We start from the raw sequence: 21,013 nt of genomic DNA on the forward strand, positions 1-21,013 counted from the left end.
GGAGGTCACAGTGAGCCAAGATCACACCACTGCACTCCAGCCTGGGGGAACAGAGCAAGACTCTGTCTCAAAAAATTAAAAAAAGAAAAGAAAAGAAAAAAGAGTGAGAATCACTAATTGCCACGAGAATGGCACCATGCCATTCATGAGGGACCTGCCCCTATGACCTAAACACCTCCCACAAGGCCCCACTTCCAACATTGAGAATCAAATTTCTTTTTCTTTTTCTTTTTCTTTTTTTTTTTTTGAGACAGAGTTTCGCTCTTGTTGCCCCAACTGGAGTGCAATGGTGCCATCTTGGCTCATCACAACCTTCGCGTCCCAGTTTCAAGCAATTCTCCTGCCTCAGCCTCCCGAGTAGCTGGGATTACAGGCATGCATGCCCGGCTAATTTTGTATTTTTAGTAGAAATGGGGTTTGTTCATGTTGAGGCTGGTCTCAAACTCCTGACCTCAGGTGATTCGCCTGCCTTGGCCTCCCAAAGTGCTGGGATTACAGGCGTGAGCCACTGGGCCCAGTGGGGAATCAAATTTCAACACAACACTTGGTGGGGCCAAACAAACCATAACCAAACCACAGGATAGGTACTATTATTACTACCATTTCTCAAATGTGGAAACTGAGACACATGAAGGTTCAGTAACTTTTCTAACACCACAGAGCTAGTAAGATGCAGAACTGGGAATCTGACCTAATCAATCTGTTTCCAAGTGTTTATGCTGTCACTCTGAATCACTCTGCCATACCACCTGGCAAAGGCTTTTTTTTCTTGAGAAAGTGTCTTGCACCCAGGCTGCATCACAGTTTACTGTAGCCTCGACCACCTGGGCTCAGGTGATCCTCCTGCCTTAGCCTCCCAAGTAGCTGGGACTACAGACACATGCCATCACACCCAGCTAATTTTTAAAAAAATTTTTATTTATGTATTTTTTTTTTGAGACGGAGTCTCACTCTGTCGCCCAGGCTGGAGTACATTGGAACAATCTCAGCTCACTGCAACCTCCGCCTCCCAGGTTCAAGCGATTCTCCTTCCTCAGCTTCCTGAATAGCTGGAATTACAGGTGCATCACCATGCCTGGCTAATTTTTGTATTTTTAGTAGAGACGGGGTTTCACTATGTTGGCCAGGCTGGTCTTGAACTCCTGACCTCAGGTGATCTGCCTGCCTCGGCCTCCCAAAGTGCTGGGATTACAGGTGTAAGCCTTCATGCCTGACCCTATGTCCAGCTAATTTTTACAACATTTTGTTGGCCAGGTGTGGTGGCTCACACCTGTAATCCTACCACTTTGGGAGGCCAAGGCAGGTGGATCACCTAAGGTCAGGAGTTCAAGACCAGCCTGGCCAACATGGCAAAAGCCCATCTCCACTAAAAATACAAAAATTAGCCGAGTGTGGTGGTGCACACCTGTAATCCCAGCTAATGGGGAGGCTGAGGAAGGAGAATTGCTTGAACCTGGGAGCTGGAGGTTGCAGTGAGCTGAGATCACAGCACTGCACTCCGGCCTGCGAGAAGGGAGCAAGACTCCATCTCAAAAAAAAAACAAAACATTTTTTAGTCTGGGCATGGTGGCTCATGCCTGTAATCCCAGCATTTTGGGAGGCTGAGGCAGGTGGATCACCTGAGGTTGGGAGTTTGAGACCAGCCTGACCAACATGGAGAAACCCTCATTTCTACTGAAAATGCAAAATTAGCCAGACATGGTGGTGCATGCCTGTAAACCCAGCTACTCGGGAGGCTGAGGCCGGAGAACCACTTGAACCAAGGAGGCGGAAGTTGGAGTGAGCCAAGATCTCACCATTGCACTCCAGCCTGGGCAACAAGAATGAAAGTCTGTCTCAAAAAAAAAAAAAGTTTGTATTCAGGGTTTCACTATGTTGCCTAGGCTGGCCTTGAACTGCTGGCCTCAAGCAATCCTCCCAGCTCAGGCTCCCAAAGTGTTGAGATTACAGGCATGTTACCCAGGATAATCTCGATCTCCTGACCTCATGATCCGCCTGCCTTGGCCTCCCAAAGTGCTGAGATTACAGGAGTGAGCCACCATGCCTGGCCTGATCTGTTTCTTTTTCAGAGACACAGATACTATCCAACATTTTTCTTTTTTCTTTCTTTCTTTCTTTCTTTCTTTCTTTTTTTTTTTTTTTTTTTTTTTTTTTTTGAGACAGAGTCTCACGCTGTTGCCCAGGCTGGAGTGCAGTGGTACAATCTCAGCTCACTGCAACCTCCACCTCCCAGGTTCAAGCAATTCTCCTGCCGCAGCCTAATAAGAAGCTGGGATTACAGGTGCTCACCACCACAACTGGATAATTTTTGTATTTTCAGTAGAGACGGGGTTTCACCATGTTGGCCAGGCTGGTCTCAAACTCCTGACCTCAGGTGATCCTCCAGCCTTGGCCTCCCAAAGTGCTGAGGTTACAGGCATGAGCTGCCATACCTGGCCAGCCATTCAACATTTTTCTGATATCTTTGTTTTAGCTGTTGTGTTTTGCTGAATTAAAGCATCTGAATTTGGTAAGCATTTGTAAATCAAAGAAAATTACTGAAGCGTGTCTCAGTCATTTTTAGAGGTCATTTTGTGAAAGTTGAGGATGCAGTGGGAGGAAAAAAGAAATAAAAACCACAGGAAATATTTGTGATGCATGCTTTTTTTTTCCAAAGACGGTCTGGGGACTTCAATATTTAAAGGGAAAAAGAGGCCGGGCTGGGTGGCTCATGCCTGTAATTCCAGCACTTTGGGAGGCCTAGGCAGGCGGATCACCTGAGGTCAGGAGTTTGATATCAGCCTTGCCAACATGGTGAAACCCCGTCTCTACCAAAAATACAAAAATTAGCTGGGTGTGGTGGCACATGCCTGTAATCCCAGCTACTCGGGAGGCTGAGGCAGGAGAATTGCTTTAACCCAGGAGGCAGAGGTTGCAGTGAGCCGAGATCACACCACTGCACTGCAGCTTGGGCAACAGAGCAAGACTCGGTCTTAAATAAATAAATAAATAAAGGGAAAGAAAGTGAGTAGTAGGGGAAGGCAAAATAAAAAAACAAGTGGGGAGGGAGAACAAATTGAAGCGCCAAGTGATCGTGTTCCTTTGAGTCTTTGATCAGCGTTTACAGAATCTACATTTTACATGTGGAAAGAAAAGGGTGGAGAAATAGTCAATTATGCATTTATCTTGAGCTCAGTGAATATGCATTTTTTTCATGAGATAAATAAACATAGAGTACAGGAAGCAGTCAGATATGCTTTTGTCTCCAGTGCACAGAGGGATGACTTTTAGTTCTGTCCTTTGTCCTTTACCTGTGAAGACAAGTTTTTCATTTATGCTGTCAGGGTGAAATTCAACAGCACTGTTTTGCCCAGGCATGGTGGCTCGTGCCTATAATACCAGCACTTTAGGAGGCCAAGGTAGGTGGATTGCATGAGGCCAGGAGTTGGAGACCAGCCTGGCCAACATGGTGAAACCCCATCTCTACTACAAATAAAAAAATTAGCCAGGTGTGGTGGTGCATGCCTGTAATCCTAGCTACTCAGAAGGCTGAGGCAGGAGAATCACTTGAACCAGGAGGTAGAGGTTGCAATGAACTGAGATGGCGCCATTGCACTCCAGCCTGGGCAACAGAGCAAGACTCTGTCTCAAAACAAAACAAAACAAAACAAAACAAAACAAAACAAAACCAGAACTGTTTTAGATGAAATTCAAGAAATTAAACAGAACTGTTTTCCTTTCACATATTCAATGTCAGTAACTCATCTTTCTGGGTTTGAGATACTGAAAGAGCAATGTCTGGCCTCATCCAAACCCTGGTAGATTTATCACCCAAGAAATTTTGAATATCAAGACCCTACCCTCTTCCCTGAATAATGACTGTGAAAGGAAAATAAATCTCAGGACCACCAACTCACTAAGCCAAAAGCAAAAGTCAAGCTGGAAACTGGATCATGCAAACCTGCCTCTCCCATTTTATTCCTAAATAGATAGCTACAAAGATTTTTTTTTTTTTGAGATGGAGTCTCACTCTGTCACTCAGGTTAGAGTGCAGTGGCGCAATCTCTGCTCACTGCAAGCTCCGCCTCCTGGGTTCATACTTTGGGAGGCCAAGGCAGGCGGATCATGAGGTCAGGAGATCAAGACCATCCTGGCTAACACGGTGAAACCCCATCTCTACTAAAAATTTAAAAAGTTAGCCAGGCATGGTGGCACACGCCTGTAATCCCAGCTACTTGGGAGGCTGAGGCAGGAGAATTGCTTGAACCTGGGAGGCAGAGGTTGCAGTGAGCTGAGATCGTACCACTGCACTCCAGCCTGGGTGACAGAACGGGATTCTGTCTCAAAAAAAAAATAGAGACAGGGTCTAGCTCTGTCACCAAGGCTGGCATGCAGTGGTGCAATCGTAGTTTGCTGCAGCCTTGATCTCCTGGACTCAAGTGATCCTCTCATCTCCACCTCCTGAGTAGCTGGACCATAGGCATGCATTACCATGCCTGGCTAATTTTTTTATTTGTAGAGATGAATTCTCACTATGTTGCCCAGGCTGGTCTCAAACTCCTGGCCTCAAGCAATCTTCCTGCCTTGGCCTCCCACAGTGCTGGGATTTCAGACAGGAGCCACCACGATGGCCACATAGGCAAGATTCATTAAATCATTGGTCACTGGTGATCAACTCAACCTTCAGCTCCTCCCTATCTCTGGAAATATGGGGGCAGGGGGCTGAAAGTTCCAATCCCCTAATCATGAGGTTGGTTCCCCTGGCAACCAGGCCTCATTTTGAGGCTATTCACGAGGCCCCAGAGATCAGTCGTCTCATTAGCATCCACAAAGACACTTACCACTTTGCAGATTTCAAGGGTTTCAGGAGCTGTGCACCCAGGAAACAGGGACAGAGACCATATATGTGTGTTTGTGCATATATGTATATATGTTTGTGTGTGTGTATTCTTTTTGTGTGTTCTTCCTTCTTTTACACTGTAGTTTTCAGATCTTACAAATATATATTATTATTTCATGTTTATATTATAAAAGGAAAATAAAATCTCGGGACCTCAGACTCACTATTCTACAGGGAAAAGTCAAGCTGGGAACTGGGTCATGCAAACCTATCTCCCATTTTTTTTTTCTAAAGAGATAACTACAGACCGGGTGCGGTGGCTCACACCTGTAATCCCAGCACTTTGGGAGGCCGAGGCGGGCGAATCATGAGGTCAGGAGATCGAGACCATCCTGGCTAACATGGTGAAACCCCGTCTCTACTAAAAAAAAAAAAAAAAAAATTAGCCAGGCATGGTGGCAGGTGCCTACAGTCCCAGCTACTCGGGAGGCTGAGGCAGGAGAATGGTGAAACTGGGAGGCAGAGCTTGCAGTGAGCTGAGATCGCACCACTGCACTCCCGCCTGGGCGATAGAGCGAGACTCCGTCTCAAAAAAAAAAAAAAAAAAAGAGATAACTACAAAGATAAAAGACTACATACCTCCCTCCGAATTTGCTCCAAGAAAATTCCTTGTGGGCCTCAAGATATTGACCCTAAAAGACTTCTGTTGAGACTGGGTGTGGTGGCTCACGCCTATAATCCCAGCACTTTGGGAGGCTGAGGGAGGTGGATCACCTGAGGTCAGGAGTTCGAGACCAGCCTGACCAACATGGTGAAACCCCATCTCTACTAAAAATACAAACATTAGCCAGGTATGGTGGTGGGTGCCTGTAATCCCAGGTACGTGGGAGGCTGAGGCGGGAGAATTGCTTGAACCTGGGAGAAAGAGGTCACAATGAACCGAGATCATGCCACCGCACTCCAGCCTGGGCGACAGAGCAAGATTCTGTCTCAAAAAAAAAAAAAAAAAAAAAAGAGTTCCGTTGAATTTCACCCTGATAATGTCAATGGATAACTTATGTTCACAAGTGATGGACAAAGGACAGAACTAATTGTCACCCTTCCACCCACCTGAGACAAATCTACATCTGGCTGCCTCCTCTACTCTATGTTTATTTATCTTATATAAAATGCAGATTCACTAAGTGCAAAATTAATGCCCAGGTGACTGTTCTTCTACCCTCTCCTTCCACATGTAAAATGTGGACTCAGTAAACACTGATCAAAAGATCCGAATGCAATTGCTTTCGAATGCAACTCTATTAGATATATACCTTCTCTTTTTTCTTTCTTTGCTCTTTCTCCTACTGCCCGCTCTTTTCCCTTTATTTATAGAAGTCCCCAAACCCTCTTTGGAAAAAGCACAGATAGCAGATGTTTCCTGTACTTTTGTGTGTGTTTTTTTTCTTTCCTGGATACGCCCTTAACATTGGCAAAATCAACTAAAATGATTCAAGACTCACCTCAGTCCTTTTCTTTGGCTTGCGATATAAATGGAATCATAGAGGCCAGGCACGGTGGCTCACGCCTATAATCCCAGCACTTTGGGAGGCCGAGGCGGGTGGATCACCTGAGATCAGGAGTTCAAGACCAGCCTAAACAACATGGCAAAACCTTTTCTCTACTAAAAATACAAAAAATTAGCTGGGCATGGTGGTCCCGCCTGTAATACCAGCTACTTGGGAGGCTGAGGCAGAAAGAATTGCTTGAACCCGGGAGGCGGAGGTTGTAATGTGCCAAGATCATGCCAGCGCACTCCAGCCTAGGCAACAGAGTGTGACTCCACCTCAAAACTAAATAAATAAATAAACAAATGAAATCATATAATGTGTGATTATTTGCCTCTTAATGTTTTAAAATCAAACATTTACACTGTAATTCTGCTTTGTACCAAAATTCATCAGAAACAATTTTCTTAGCACTGTGATTTTATTTTCAAAATTAGCTGAACATTATAGCAAAGCTAAGTTACAATTTTCTCCTGCCTTCCCTGAAGAAAAGCCCTGAGGGATTTTGTTTTATTTTGTTTTTAGGTTTTTTATTTATTTATTTATTTATTTATTTATTTATTTTGAGACACAGTTTCGCTCTTGTTGCCCAGGCTGGAGTGCTGTGGTGCGATCTCAGCTCACTGCAACCTCCACCTCCCGGGTTCAAGCAATTCTCGTGACTCAGCCTCCTGAGTAGTTGGGATTACAGGCATGCGCCACCACACCTGGCTAACTTTTGTATTTTTAGTAGAGATGGGGTTTCACCATCTTGGCCAGGCTGGTCTGGAATATCTGACCTCATGATCCACCCACCTTGGCCTCCCAAAGTACTGGAATTACAAGCGTGAGCCACTGCGCCAAATGTTGCCATCTCTTTTCCATTAGTGGAAGCATGTCTGTTGCACTGGGACAGGAATTAAAAGAAATTAAAGAATGTGTAAGCAGAAACTCAGTTGTATGTGAGAAAACCCAATTCCCCCTTAGAAAGAAAGAGCTGGAGTCCTTTAAAAATTAACTGGCTGCTTTTCTGTGGCTAGTGAGCCTTATCACTCCTCCTTTCCCAGGTTTTGTGAAGACCCTGTTTCTCTTTTCTTTCTTTTTTTTTTTTTAAGGGTGAGAAGGGCAGGGTTTATTGGGCAAGAAGGAAATAAAAAGGGAAACAGGGACTCTCAGCAAAGCGAGAGTTCTGCTGGTAGGCTCACTGCCTCACAGATTGAATTCCCAGTTACCACTCCAGAACAGGGGAAGCCAGAATCTTCCCCTCTGCAAATGGTGTGAAATTCCATGGCTCCACCCCAGTGCACATGCCTCCCTGTGCACAGGCCGGTCGAAGGTTCTCGGGGAACCCCTTTATACTTGGCTGTCTCACTGGGGTCAAGCAATCCTCCAGCCTTGACCTCCCAAAGTTCTGAGATTACAGGCATAACCTACAGCATCCAGCCTCCAGTACTTTTATCATTGGTGTTTCTGTGAGATTTCTTTATATATATATATATATGTATATATTATACTTCAAGTTCTAGGGTACATGTGCACAATGTGCAGGTTTGTTACATATGTATACATGTGCCATGTTGGTGTGCTGCACCCATTAACTCATCATTTACATTAGGTATATCTCCTAATGCTATCCCCCCGACTTCCCCCACCCCACAACAGGCCCCGGTGTGTGATGTTCCCCTTCCTGTGTCCAAGTGTTCTCATTGTTCAATTCCCACCTATGAGTGAGAACATGTGGTGTTCGGTTTTTTGTCCTTGTGATAGTTTGGTGAGAATGATGGTTTCCAGCTTCATCCATGTCCCTACAAAGGACATGAACTCATCCTTTTTTATGGCTGCATAGTATTCCATGGTGTATATGTGCCACATTTTCTTAATCCAGTCTATCAATGTTGGACATTTGGGTTGGTTCCAAGTCTTTGCTATTGTGAATACTGCCAATATCCCTGATGAATATTGATGCAAAAATCCTCAATAAAATACTGGCAAACCAAATCCAGCAGCACATCAAAAAGCTTATCCACCATGATCAAGTGGGCTTCATCCCTGGGATGCAAGGCTGGTTCAACATACGCAAATCAATAAACATAATCCAGCATATAAACAGAACCAAAGGCAAAAACCACATGATTATCTCAATAGATGCAGAAAAGGCTTTTGACAAAATTCAACAGCCCTTCATGCTAAAAACTCTCAATAAATTAGGTATTGATGGGACGTATCTCAAAATAATAAGAGCTATTTATGACAAACCCACAGCCAATATCATACTGAATGGGCAAAAACTGGAGGCATTCCCTTTGAAAACTGGCACAAGACAGGGATGCCCTCTCTCACCACTCCTATTCAACATAGTGTTGGAAGTTCTGGCCAGGGCAATCAGGCAGGAGAAAGAAATAAAGGGTATTCAATTAGGAAAAGAGGAAGTCAAATTGTCCCTGTTTGCAGATGACATGATTGTATATCTAGAAAACCCCATTGTCTCAGCCCAAAATCCCCTTAAGCTGATAAGCAACTTTAGCAAAGTCTCAGGATACAAAATCAATGTGCAAAAATCACAAGCATTCTTATACACCAATAACAGAGAAACAGAGAGCCAAATCATGAGTGAACTCCCACTCACAATTGCTTCAAAGATAATAAAATACCTAGGAATCCAACTTACAAGGGATGTGAAGGACCTCTTCAAGGAGAACTACAAACCACTGCTCAATGAAATAAAAGAGAATACAAACAAATGGAACAACATTCCACACTCATGGATAGGCAGAATCAATATCGTGAAAATGGCCATACTGCCCAAGGTAATTTATAGATTCAATGCCATCCCCATCAAGCTACCAATGACTTTCTTCACAGAATTGGAAAAAACTACTTTAAAGTTCATATGGAACCAAAAAAGAGCCCGCATTGCCAAGTCAATCCTAAGCCAAAAGAACAAAGCTGGAGGCATCACGCTACCTGACTTCAAACTATACTACAAGGTTGCAGTAACCAAAACAGCATGGTACTGGTACCAAAACAGAGATACAGACCAATGGAACAGAACAGAGCCCTCAGAAATAATACCACACATCTACAACTATCTGATCTTTGACAAACCTGACAAAAACAAGAAATGGGGAAAGGACTCCCTATTTAACAAATGGTGCTGGGAAAACTGGCTAGCCATATGTAGAAAGCTGAAACTGGATCCCTTCCTTACACCTTATACTAAAATTAATTCAAGATGGATTAAAGACTTAAATGTTAGACATAAAACCATAAAAACCCTAGAAGAAAACCTAGGCAATACCATTCAGGACATAGGCATGGGCAAGGACTTCATGTCTAAAACACCAAAAGCAATGGCAACAAAAGCCGAAATTGACAAAAGGGATCTAATTAAACTAAAGAGCTTCTGCACAGCAAAAGAAACTACCATCAGACTGAACAGGCAACCTACACAATGGGAGAAAATTTTTGCAATCTACTCATCTGACAAAGGGCTAATATCCAGAATCTACAAAGAACTCAAACAAATTTACAAGAAAAAAACAAACAACCCCAACAACAAGTGGGTAAAGGATATGAACAGATGCTTCTCAAAAGAAGACATATATGCAGCCAACAGACACATGAAAAAATGCTCATCATCACTGGCCATTAGAGAAATGCAAATCAAAACCATGATGAGATATCATCTCACACCAGTTAGAATGGCGATCACTAAAAAGTCAGGAAACAACAGGTGCTGGAGAGGATGTGGAGAAATAGGAACACTTTTACACTGTTGTTGGGACTATAAACTAGTTCAACCATTGTGGAAGACAGTGTGGCTATTCCTCAGGGATCTAGAACTAGAAATACCATTTGACTCAGCCATCCCATTACTGGGTATATACCCAAAGGATTATAAATCATGCTGCTATAAAGACACATGCACACGTATGTTTATTGCAGCACTATTCACAATAGCAAAGACCCTGTTTCTTTAGCTATGCTGCTGCAAGGTCACTAGACAGATAACCTCAAGTCATAAAACATGTTTTTCCTTGAAAAGTAAGAAAGTATGTAATGCATGTCTCAGTTAATTAAATAACTGTCTTTGTTTCTCTCTTCTGTAATATGCTTCCCCCTGCACAGATCTCCCCCGACCCCATGAAATGCTTTTTTTTTTTTTCTGAGACAGAGTCTCACTCTGTCCCCTATGCTGGAGTGCAGTGGCGTGATCTTGGCTCACTGCAACCTCCACCTCCTGGGTTCAAGCAATTCACTGCCTCAGCCTCCCAAGTAGATGGGATTACAGGTGCCCACCACCATGCCCGGCTAATTTTTGTATTTCTAGTAGAGATAGGGTTTCACCATCTTGGCCAGGCTTGTCTTGAACTCCTGACCTCAGGTGATCCACCTGCCTTGGCCTCCCAAAGTGCTGGGATTACAGGCATGAGCCACTGCACCGCACCCATGAAATGCTTAAAAGGCAACTTAACTCTTTATTCGGGGCTCAATCCTTTGGATGTTAAGCCGACTGGGCCGGTGCACCAAAATAATAAATATCCTCCTCAATCCAGTCGGTCTCTCTGATTCCTTATCAATCCTACCACATTTCCTTATAAAAAATATACTCGGCTGGGCATGGTGGCTCATGCCTGTAATCCCAGCATTTTGGGAGGCCGAGGCGGGCAAATCACAAGATCAGAAGATTGAGACCATCTGGGCTAACACGATGAAACCCTTTCTCTACTAAAAAAATAAAAAAAAAAATCAGCCAGGTATGGCGGCAGGTGCCTGTAGTCCCAGCTACTGGGAAGGCTGAGGCAGGAGAATGGCATGAACCTGGGAGGTGTAGCTTGCAGTGAGCTGAGATCGCACCACTGCGCTCCAGCCTGGGCAGCAGAGCGAGAGTTCATCTCAAAAAAAAACAAACAAACAAACAAACAAAAAAAACCCTATTTTCCTTGGATACTTTTCACACAGTCACCTGTATTATATTTAGTAGGTCAATTATGTATATTGATCAGAATTCTTAACACTTCCTAACTTTAATTTCCAGTGAAAATGAGGTTGTAGGCAATTATGGACTACTTGTCATTTAACAGCATTCTCTAGTAGATTAGCATACTTATTAATACATCATTTTATAATTTTTTTCTGCGACAGGGTCTCACTGTGTCAGCCAGGCTGGAGTACAGTGACATGATTATAACTCTCACTAAACCTCAAACTCTGGGGCTCAACAGACCCTCCTGCCCCACCCTCCAGAATAGCTGGGACTACAGGCATGCACCACCACACGGTGCTAATTTTTGTAGTTTTAGTAGAGATGGGGTTTCACCATGTTGGCCAGGCTGGTCTCGAACTCCTGATCTCAGGTGATCCACCTGCCTCGGCCTCCCAGAGTGCTGGGATTACAGGTGTGAGCCACTGCACCCAGCCTCATTTTCTTTGACTTCACTTTGTTGTGGTTCACTTTATTGCATTTCTTAACTTTTTTTAATTAAAAATATAATTAATATTTGACACAATTGAGATGGAGTCTCTCTATGTTGACCAGGCTGGTCTCGAACTCCTGGCCTCAAGCAGTCCTCCCATCTGAGCCTCCCAAAGTGCTGGAATTATAAGCTTGAGTCACCGTGCCTGGCCCATTTCTTTCTTCTTTTTTTTTTTTTTTTTTTTTTTTTTGATGGAGTCTCGCTCTGTCATCCAGGCTGGAGTGCAGTGGCACGGTCACGGCTCACTGCAAGCTCTGCCTCCCAGCTTCACGCCATTCTCCTGCCTCAGCCTCCCAAGTAGCTGGGACTACAGGTGCCCACCACCATGCCTGGTTAATTTTTTTTTTTTTTTTGTATTTTTACTAGAGATGGGATTTCACTGTGTTAGCCAGGATGGTCTTGATCTCCTCACCTGGTGATCCACCCGCCTCAGCCTCCGAAAGTGCTGGGATTACAGGCATGAGCCACCCACCCGGTCCCTTTTTTTTTCTTTGAGACAGAGTCTTGCTCTGTCGCCCAGGCTGGATTGCAGTGACTCGATCTCGGCTCACTGCAACGTCCGCCTCCTGAGTAGCTGGGATTACAAGAGTGCGCCACCATGCTCGGCTAATTTTTGTAATTTTAGTAGAGATGGGGTTTCCTCATTTTGGCCACGCCGGTCTCTAACTCCTGACCTCGTGATCCGTCCACCTCAGCCTCCCCAACTGCTGGAATTACAGCCGCTGCAGTTCAATGGCACGATCTTGGCTCACTGCAAACTCCGCCTCTCGGGTTCAAGCGATTCTCCTGCCTCAGCCTCCCAAGTAGCTGGGATTACAGGTGTCCATCACCAGGCCCGCCGAATTTTTGTATTTTTAGTAGAGACAGGGTTTCGCCATGTTGGCCAGGCTGGTCTTGAACTCCTGACCTCAAATGATCCTCCCGCCTTGGCCTCCCAAAGTGCTGGGATTCCAGGCATGAGCACTTTTAACATGCTGGGGAAAATGATGTCTGGACCGTGCAACTTGGTGTTGTGTTACTGTCATTCTTCTATTTACTGATCGCCTATGACTTGATTTACTCTACAGAATCTTGTTAGAACAGATCATTCTGGGCTCTGTGTCAGACAATATAGTGATAACCATGTAAACAATATATACTGATAGAACCAAAAATTTTGATGTAAGTACAAATTATGGTATAATTGGGAGGGGGATAGGGAAGTGAAAGTCTACCAAATCACAGTCTAGTTTAGCATACAGTGCTAGATGATCCAAAAATAATAAGTGGCCAGGCCTGGTGGCTCATGCCTGTAATCCCAGCACTTTGGGAGGCTGAGGTGGGAGGACCACTTGAGCCCAGGAGTTCGAGACCAGCCTGGCCAACGTAGTGAGACCTCATCTCTACAAAAAAAATTTAAAAATTAAAAAATATGAATAAAAATAATAAGGCATTTTTGTGAAAAGAAATTTATGGGTAAATATTGAGAGAAACCACTAAAATGAGTTGCTTCTAAGGAGGATACCTCAGGGGTCAGAAGAATGCTGCTTTTTGTTCCAAGTCTTGTAGCACTATCTGATTTTTTTAAACTATATATAACTGTAATAACATTAAAAATAATGAAAACAAAACAGCAACTTACCAAATAAGTTTACAAATCTTCCACTAAGTTCCTCCGAACATCTTATATGCACCCTTCTAAGCCTCGCAAATGTTTCTCCCACCTTTTTAGACTTTCCAAGGTTCATTCTTCCTTTTTAATGGTCAGGAGTTTGAGACCAGCCTGGCCACCATGGTGAAACCCCACCTCTACTAAAAATGCAAAAAAATTAGCTGGAGGTAGTGGCAGGCACCTGTAATCCCAGCTACTCAGGAGGCTGAGGCAGGAGAATCCCTTGAACCCGGGAGGCAGAGGTTGTAGTGAGCAAAGATTGCACCACTGCACTCCAGCCTGGGCAACAAGAGCGAAACTCTGTCTCAAAAATAAATAAATAAATAAGGATAATTTTAAGATTATTGTTTTAAAGAATAAATTTGATATTCTTAAAAGTGGCAAAAGCAAGATAATTGCATATTTATGGTAACAAAAGTTTAAATAACAAAGAAAAAAGCAAATGATTTCCAAAATATCTATAACGAATCAGTAAATAAAGGTAATCAAAAATTTAACTTACTTAAGGCTGGGCCCGGTGGCTTGTGCCTGTAATCCCAGGACTTTGGGAGGCCAGGGTGGGTGGATCACTTGAGGTCTAAAAAATTCAAAAAATTAGCCAGGTATGGTGGAACATGCCTGTGGTCCCAGCTACTCGGGAGACTGAGGCAAAAGAATCACTTGAATCCAGGAGATAGAGGTTGCAGTGAGCCGAGATCGCGTCATTGCATTCCAGCCTGGGCAACAGGGTGAGACTCTGTCTCAAAGAATAAATATAAAAATAAATAAAAGAACTAAAAGTAACTCTCAAGGGATGAGTATGTAGCGGTGAAGATGAAACAAGAAAGGCATAATTATTAAAGCTGGGTAATGGGCACATGGGTTTTTTTGTTTTGTTTGGCCTGTTTGTTTTGTTTTTATTTGGCTTTTCTCTTTACCATAGCAAAACAATACATGGGGGTTTATTACACTTTTCTGCTCACTTAGTGTATATGCATTTGAAGTTTTTTAGTATAAAATAAATTAAAAAAAAAATTCACGCTGGTAATCCCAGCACTTGGGGAGGCCAAGGCAGGTGGATCTCCTGAACTCAGGAGTTCAAGACCAGCCTGGGCAACATGATGAAACCAGGCTCTGCCAAAAATACAAAAAATTAGCCCGGCATGGTGGTGGGCACCTGTAATCCCAGCTATCCAGGAGGCTGAGAAAGGAGAATTACTTGAACCCAGGAGGCAGAGGTTGCAGTGAGCCGAGAAAGTGTGACTACACTCTGGCCTGGGTGACAGAACGAGACTCTGTCACAAAAAATAAAAATAAAAATAAATAAAAGAACTAAAAGTAATTCTCAAGTGTTGAGTATGTAGAGGTGGAGATGAAACAAGAAAGGCATAATTATTGAAGCTGGGTGATGGGTACCTGGGATTTTTTGTATTTTTGTGTGTGTTTTGTTTTTATAATACCTTTTCTCTTTACCATAGCAAAATGATACATGGGTGTTTATTACACTCTTCTCTTCACTTTGTGTATATGCATTTGAAGTTTTCTATTACATAGTAAACTTTTTTTTTTTAAAGAAGCAATATTTAGCCAGCCACAGTAACTCACACCTGTAATCCCAGCATTTGGGGAGGCCAAGACAGGTGGATCACCAGAGCTCAGGAGCTCGAGACCAGCCTGGGAAACATGGTGAAACCCTATCTCTACTAAAAATATAAAAATTAGCCAGGCATGGTGGTGGACGCCTGTGGTCCCAGCTACTTGAGAGGCTGAGGAGGGAAGATTGCTTGAGACTGGGAGGTGGAGGTTGCAATGAGCGCAGATCGCACCACTGCACTCCAACATGATTGACAGAGTGAGACCCCATCTCAAAAAAAAAAAAAAAAAAGCAACATTCTGGCTTACAATATTAGAAAGTCAAAAGATAATATTTAGGGCTGGATGCAGTGGCTCACACCTGTAATCCTAGCACTTTGGGAGGCCGAGACGGACTGATGACCTGAGGTCAGGAGTTCGAGACCAGCCTGGCCAACATGATGAAACCCCATCCATACTGAAAATACAAAAATTAGCTGGGCATGGTGGCAGGTGCTAGTAATCCCAGCTACTCAAAAGGCTGAGGCAGGAGAATCACTTGAACCCAGGAGGCAAAGGTTGCATTGAGCTGAGATCATGCCACAGCACTCCAGCCTGGGCGACACAGTGAGACTGTCTCAAAAAGGAAAAAAAAAGAAATAGCAATGTAAACATATTATTTAGAAATGTGGAGCTAAATAACAGTGAAAACAGTTAACAGACATCAAAGTGGATGCCTCTGGGATGAGAACTGACTTGGGGAGGGCTGGAGGAGGGAACATCTCTGTATTAGAAGGCTTTGATTTTATTTTATTTTGAAACCTTATGCATGTATAACTTTGATAATATATTCATTTGTGGATTGCCACATTGTTTTCGAGGAAAATACCCATGTGTTCTTACATGAATAATCAGGCATAGACCAGTGCTTTGAATATATAAAAATTCTGTTTAGCCATGATAATTTTGGCAGTATGCCATTTATTTCTGTTGCCAAAGGCAGTGATTTAAATTGGAATTCCTGCCTGGGATGAGTAGGGCTAAGAGGTTTGATTACATATAGTTTCCCCATCTGTACTCTGGCCTCCAGCAGTTTGTTCTTTATGCAGCAGCGAAGAGTGATCATAAATAAGCTTATCTCACTCTCCAGTTTGAAAGCTACTAAACGTCTTTCATAGCAATTAGAATAAAATTCAAACTCTTCGGCATGGCCTACACACAAGGCCCTAAATAATGTAAATGATTGGACTCGCTCCCAGTTCTCCTGTCACTCTCCTCAATCACCATGCCCCAGCCTCAGTGGCCTTCCTTGGCACACCCACAGCTCATTCCTACCTCAAGGCCTTTGACTTGCCATTGCTCATGAGACCGATTGCTTACCATCACTCAGGATCTCATTCAAAACTTCATTCCTGGAAAAGGTCCTTCCCGATCATCAAGCTAGAGGAGCTTGCTGCACCCCTTCTCTGCCCACAGCTATGGATCTCCAAGTGTGGGCTTCAGACCAGAAGCGTCAGTGTTGCCTGCAAGCATTTCATTTTGTGTTGTGTTTTCTCTGGAAATGCAGAGTCTTAGGCCCCACCACAGACCCACTGAAGGAAAAGCTGCATTTTAACCAGACCCCAAAGTGATTGTGCTTTAAAAATTTCAGAAGCACTGATCTAGAGTTTCCCCTTCTAATTTTCCTGTGTATCTGTTACAAGGTGTGTCCATTGCTGCAGGTAATCTGGAATGTGTTTACATGTTTATTGTTTCTCTTCCCTAAATAGAATTTAAGGTCCACAAGGGCAGCACCTCGTCTGGCTCGTTCACTTCTGGATCCCCGGCACGTAGCGTCAGTGCACACAGTACATGCTCAATAAGTATTTAGATGAGTGAAAGAATAAATGAATATAATGGAAATTATTTTATGTTCTTTGAAATGTATAACTGAAGGCTGGGTGTCATAGCTCGGCCTGTAATCCCAGCACTTTGGGAGGTCAAGGTGGGGGGATTGCTTGAGTCCAGTATTTCGAGACCAGTCTTGGCACATGGGAAAGCCCCAACTCTACAAAAAATACAAAAAAAAAAGGATTGTATAATTGTACAATAAAATTTCATGGCGGCTGGGCGCGGTGGTTCACGCCTGTAATCCTAGCACTTTGGGAGGCCAAGTTGGGCAGATCACAAGGTCAGGAGATTGAGACCATCCTGGCTAACATGGTGAAACCCTGTCTCTACTAAAAAAAATACAAAAAATTAGCCGGGCGTGGTGGTGGGTGCCTGTAGTCCCAGCTACTCTGGAGACTGAGGCAGGAGAATGGCATGAACCCGGGAGGCGGAGCTTGCAGTGAGCTGAGACCGTCCACTGCACTCTAGCCTGGGTGACAGAGCGAGACTCCGTCTCAAAAAAAAAAAAAATCTTCATGGCTTTCACTTGTTTGTAAAATCGGGGTGATTTTTCTCTCCCAACATCACTGTTACACAGGGGTTTCATTCTGTATCTTGGGCATCGAGTGCCATTAAACTATTGTGGTCCGTGGAGAATCACTTATTTATCCTTGTTTTGGGGCAGTTTGTCTTCAGAACCAAAGTTTAGATTTTGTTTAGAGTGTTTCTCTACTGACTTAACACCATAACTGGTTATTTATTTTTTAGCATTTAAGAAGCACTCTCGTTCAAGCCAGAGTTAACATTATCTTTAAAGGTTTTGTTATTCACAATGAATGTTAGCTTGTTATTTGTATCAAGTTTTATCAAATCAGTATTAACAATTTAAAAAAGAAAATCAGGTTTTAAAAATATTAAGTCATATCCAAGATTTAAAGTTAAATTGCAAATAAAAACTGATAGGGCATATAATGTATCCGGTTTTTTACTTCTGAGATAGGATTCTAGGAAAGACCTACAGTTTCTGATATCGTCCTGCATTTTTTTTTTGAAGTGGAGTTTTGCTCTTGTTGCCCAGGCTGGAGTGCAGTGGTGCAGTCTCGGCTCACTGCAACCTCTGCCTCCTGGGTTCAAGCGATTCTCCTGCCTCAGCCTCCCAAGTAGCTGGGATTACAGGCACGCACTACCATGTTGGGCTAATTTTTCGTATTTTGAGTAGAGACAAGGGTTTCACCATGTTGGCCAGCCTGGTCTCAAACTCTTGACCACGTGATCTGCTCACCTCGGCCTCCCAAGGTGCTGGGATTACAGGAGTGAGCCACGGGCCCAGTCCTACATTTAAAAAATACATTCCCAGTATATTTCTTAATGCATATCCTGGTGAAATTTGTGAAGAAACAACTTTTCAATCTATATTCTTTGAGTGAATAAATAGCACCCCTTACATCTATGGCTTTTAACTGGTGGCAGTTGTTTCCCAGTGGACGTTTGGCAATGGCTGTGACTGCATTTTTGGTAGTCACACCTGGGGTGGAGGAGTACTGGCAGCATCTAGTTGGGGGAGCCCCGGGGTACTGTTATGTAATGCACAGAACACCCCACAGCACAAAGAATTATCTAGCCCAAAATGTCAGTAGTCCACTGTTAAGAGACAGTGGACAACTGTCTCCTTCTGCATAGAGAAGTCTCCTTCTGCAAATACTAATGCCATTGGAAAACGAATACTTTGCCCTACCTTCTGGAGAAGAGAATATATAGAAATTGGCAACTGAGAGATTCAGATGGGTATACTGGCACCTTTAGATATGTTCATTTTAGATGATTATTTCTAATCAGAAATCTAGTGACTGGCCTCCCTCTCTTTGGGGCAAATCACTCTCTCAACACAGGACATTTAAGACATTTCACAACTTAGTTGATTTTAGAATTGGATAACGTTCTCAAATAATGATACATTTTTTAAAATAGGGAAATTCAAATATAGGGTTACTGGTTTTCCTTATTTTACAGATGGGGTCGAGGATTTGGTCTTTTGGGTTCCATTTTTGGAAAGGATGGTGTATTAAACCAGCCAAACAGTGTCTTTGGACTTATATTTTATATACTACAGTTATTACTTGGTAAGTATTTATCAATACAAAAATAAGTTTGTTATATTCCGTTTAGTACTTTGTGTCTTTGCCCTGAAGTGTCTTGATGTTAAATAAAAGCATGTGTTATTTATAGAACCACTAGCGTGTACAACATTTTTGTGTTTTGAAAACTTGATTCACCAATATTTTTATTATATTAATGTTGACTTTATGTCAATTACTGTTTAATCATGGAGAGCAGTATCTCATGATGTCCAGAAAAACCAGTCCCATTCCAGGAAATTATCACTCCCATCTTCCCTGTAAACATTTTTCCTTATTTTATAGACTCTGTAGCCTTGAAAAATATCATATATTAAGGGGACATTAACAAGAAACCATATTCATAATCCCATCACCTTTATATATCCACTATTTCCACAGTCTTCTGCTTTAAAAAATAATTTGGGGGCTGGGTGCGGTGGCTGATGCCTGTAATCCCAGCACTTTGGGAGGCTGAGGTGGGTGGATCACGTGAGGTTGGGAGTTCAAGACCAGCCTGACCAACATAAAACCCATCTCTACTAAAAATACTGAAAGGGTGGCCTGCCCCTCCACACCTGTGAGTATTTCTCATCAAGTGGGACAAGAGACTGAGAAAAGAAATAAGACACAGAGACAAAGTATAGAGAAAAAAAAGTAGGCCCAGGGGACTGGTGTTCAGCATATGGAGGACCTACACCAGCACCAGTCTCTGAGTTTTCTTAGTATTTATTACTATTTTTACTATTTTAGTGAGAGGAATGTGGCAGGAGAGCAGGGTGATAGTGGAGCGAAGGTCAGCAAGAAAATGTGAGTAAAGGAATCTGTGTCACAAATAAGTTTAAGGGAAGGTACTATGTCTGGATGTGTACATAGGCCAGATTTATGCTTTTTTCCACTCAAACATCTCAGTGGAGTAAAGAATAACAAAGCAGCATTGCTGCCAACATGTCTCGCCTCCCACCACAGGGCAGTTTTTCTCCTATCTCAGAATCGAACAAATGTACAATCGGGTTTTATACCAAGACATTCCCTTCCCAGGGGCAGGCAGGAGACAGAGGCCTTCCTCTTATTTCAACTGCTAGAGGCCTTCCTCTTTTACTAATCCTCCAGGGCACAGACCCTTCACGGGTGTCAGGCTGGGGGATGGTCAGGTCTTTCCCATCCCATGAGGCCATATTTCAGACTATCACATGGGCAGAAACCTTGGACAATACCGGGCTTTCCAGGGCAGAGGTCCCTGCGGCTTTCCGCAGTGCATTGTGCCCCTGGTTTATTGAGATGGGAGAATGGCGATGACTCTTACCAAGTATACTGCCTGTAAACATTTTGTTAACAAGGCACATCCTGCACAGCCCTAGATCCCTTAAACCTTGATTCCATACAACACATGTTTTTGTGAGCACAAGGTTGGGGCAAAGTTACAGATTAACAGCATATCAGGGCAAAGCAATTGTTCAGGGTACAGGTCAAAACGGAGTTTCTTATGTCTTCCTTTTCTACATAGACACAGTAACAGTCTGATCTCTCTTTCTTTTCCCTTCATATCCCCCTTTTCTTTTTGACAAAACCGCCATAGTCATTATGGCCTGTTTTTGTTGGTCGTTGTCTTTTTGGAGCTGTTAGATACACCTGTAAACTAACAACAGACAGAACAGGCATGCAAGGATTAATACAAATTTACAATAGTGGAACTTTTGATAGTTTTAACCCAAGTGACGAGGTTAAGATTTGTGAGGCCATCAACAGCTTTTACAATTGTCTTAGTTTTTGGTACCAAATTTAAATGGGCTTTTGATGCCTTAAAAATTTGGTTTTTTAATTTTGAAATATTTAAAGTAAGATTATTTTTTCTGTTTTGTAGATGGCGTTTAACCATGTCCCATTGATGTTCAGAGTCATTATAGGCTCGGGGTGTAATACAAAAATCTGACGTATTTCAGTCACACTGTAACTGAAAAAGATATTTCAAGCTCATGGAGCCTATCTCTCATTTAAATGACAGT

The 21,013-nt window shown here is 43.0% G+C and overlaps 1 long non-coding RNA gene across 3 annotated transcripts in view; it reads right to left on the minus strand.

Moving 5' to 3' along the window:
- The window catches only part of LOC105375336 (uncharacterized), a 52,145-nt gene continuing 38,277 nt past the window's right edge, over nucleotides 7,146–21,013 (minus strand). For 2 of the 3 annotated variants that reach the window (XR_007060359.1, XR_927617.3), the window contains one exon: nucleotides 16,757–17,071. This is a non-coding gene — a long non-coding RNA (uncharacterized LOC105375336). Of the gene's footprint in view, nucleotides 7,253–16,756; nucleotides 17,072–21,013 lie in introns of those variants that run through there. The other variant, XR_002956511.2, reaches the window with a different exon arrangement.

The sequence above is a fragment of the Homo sapiens genome, chromosome 7 (assembly GCF_000001405.40).
Source record: "Homo sapiens chromosome 7, GRCh38.p14 Primary Assembly".
NCBI classification, from domain to species: Eukaryota; Metazoa; Chordata; class Mammalia; order Primates; family Hominidae; genus Homo; species Homo sapiens.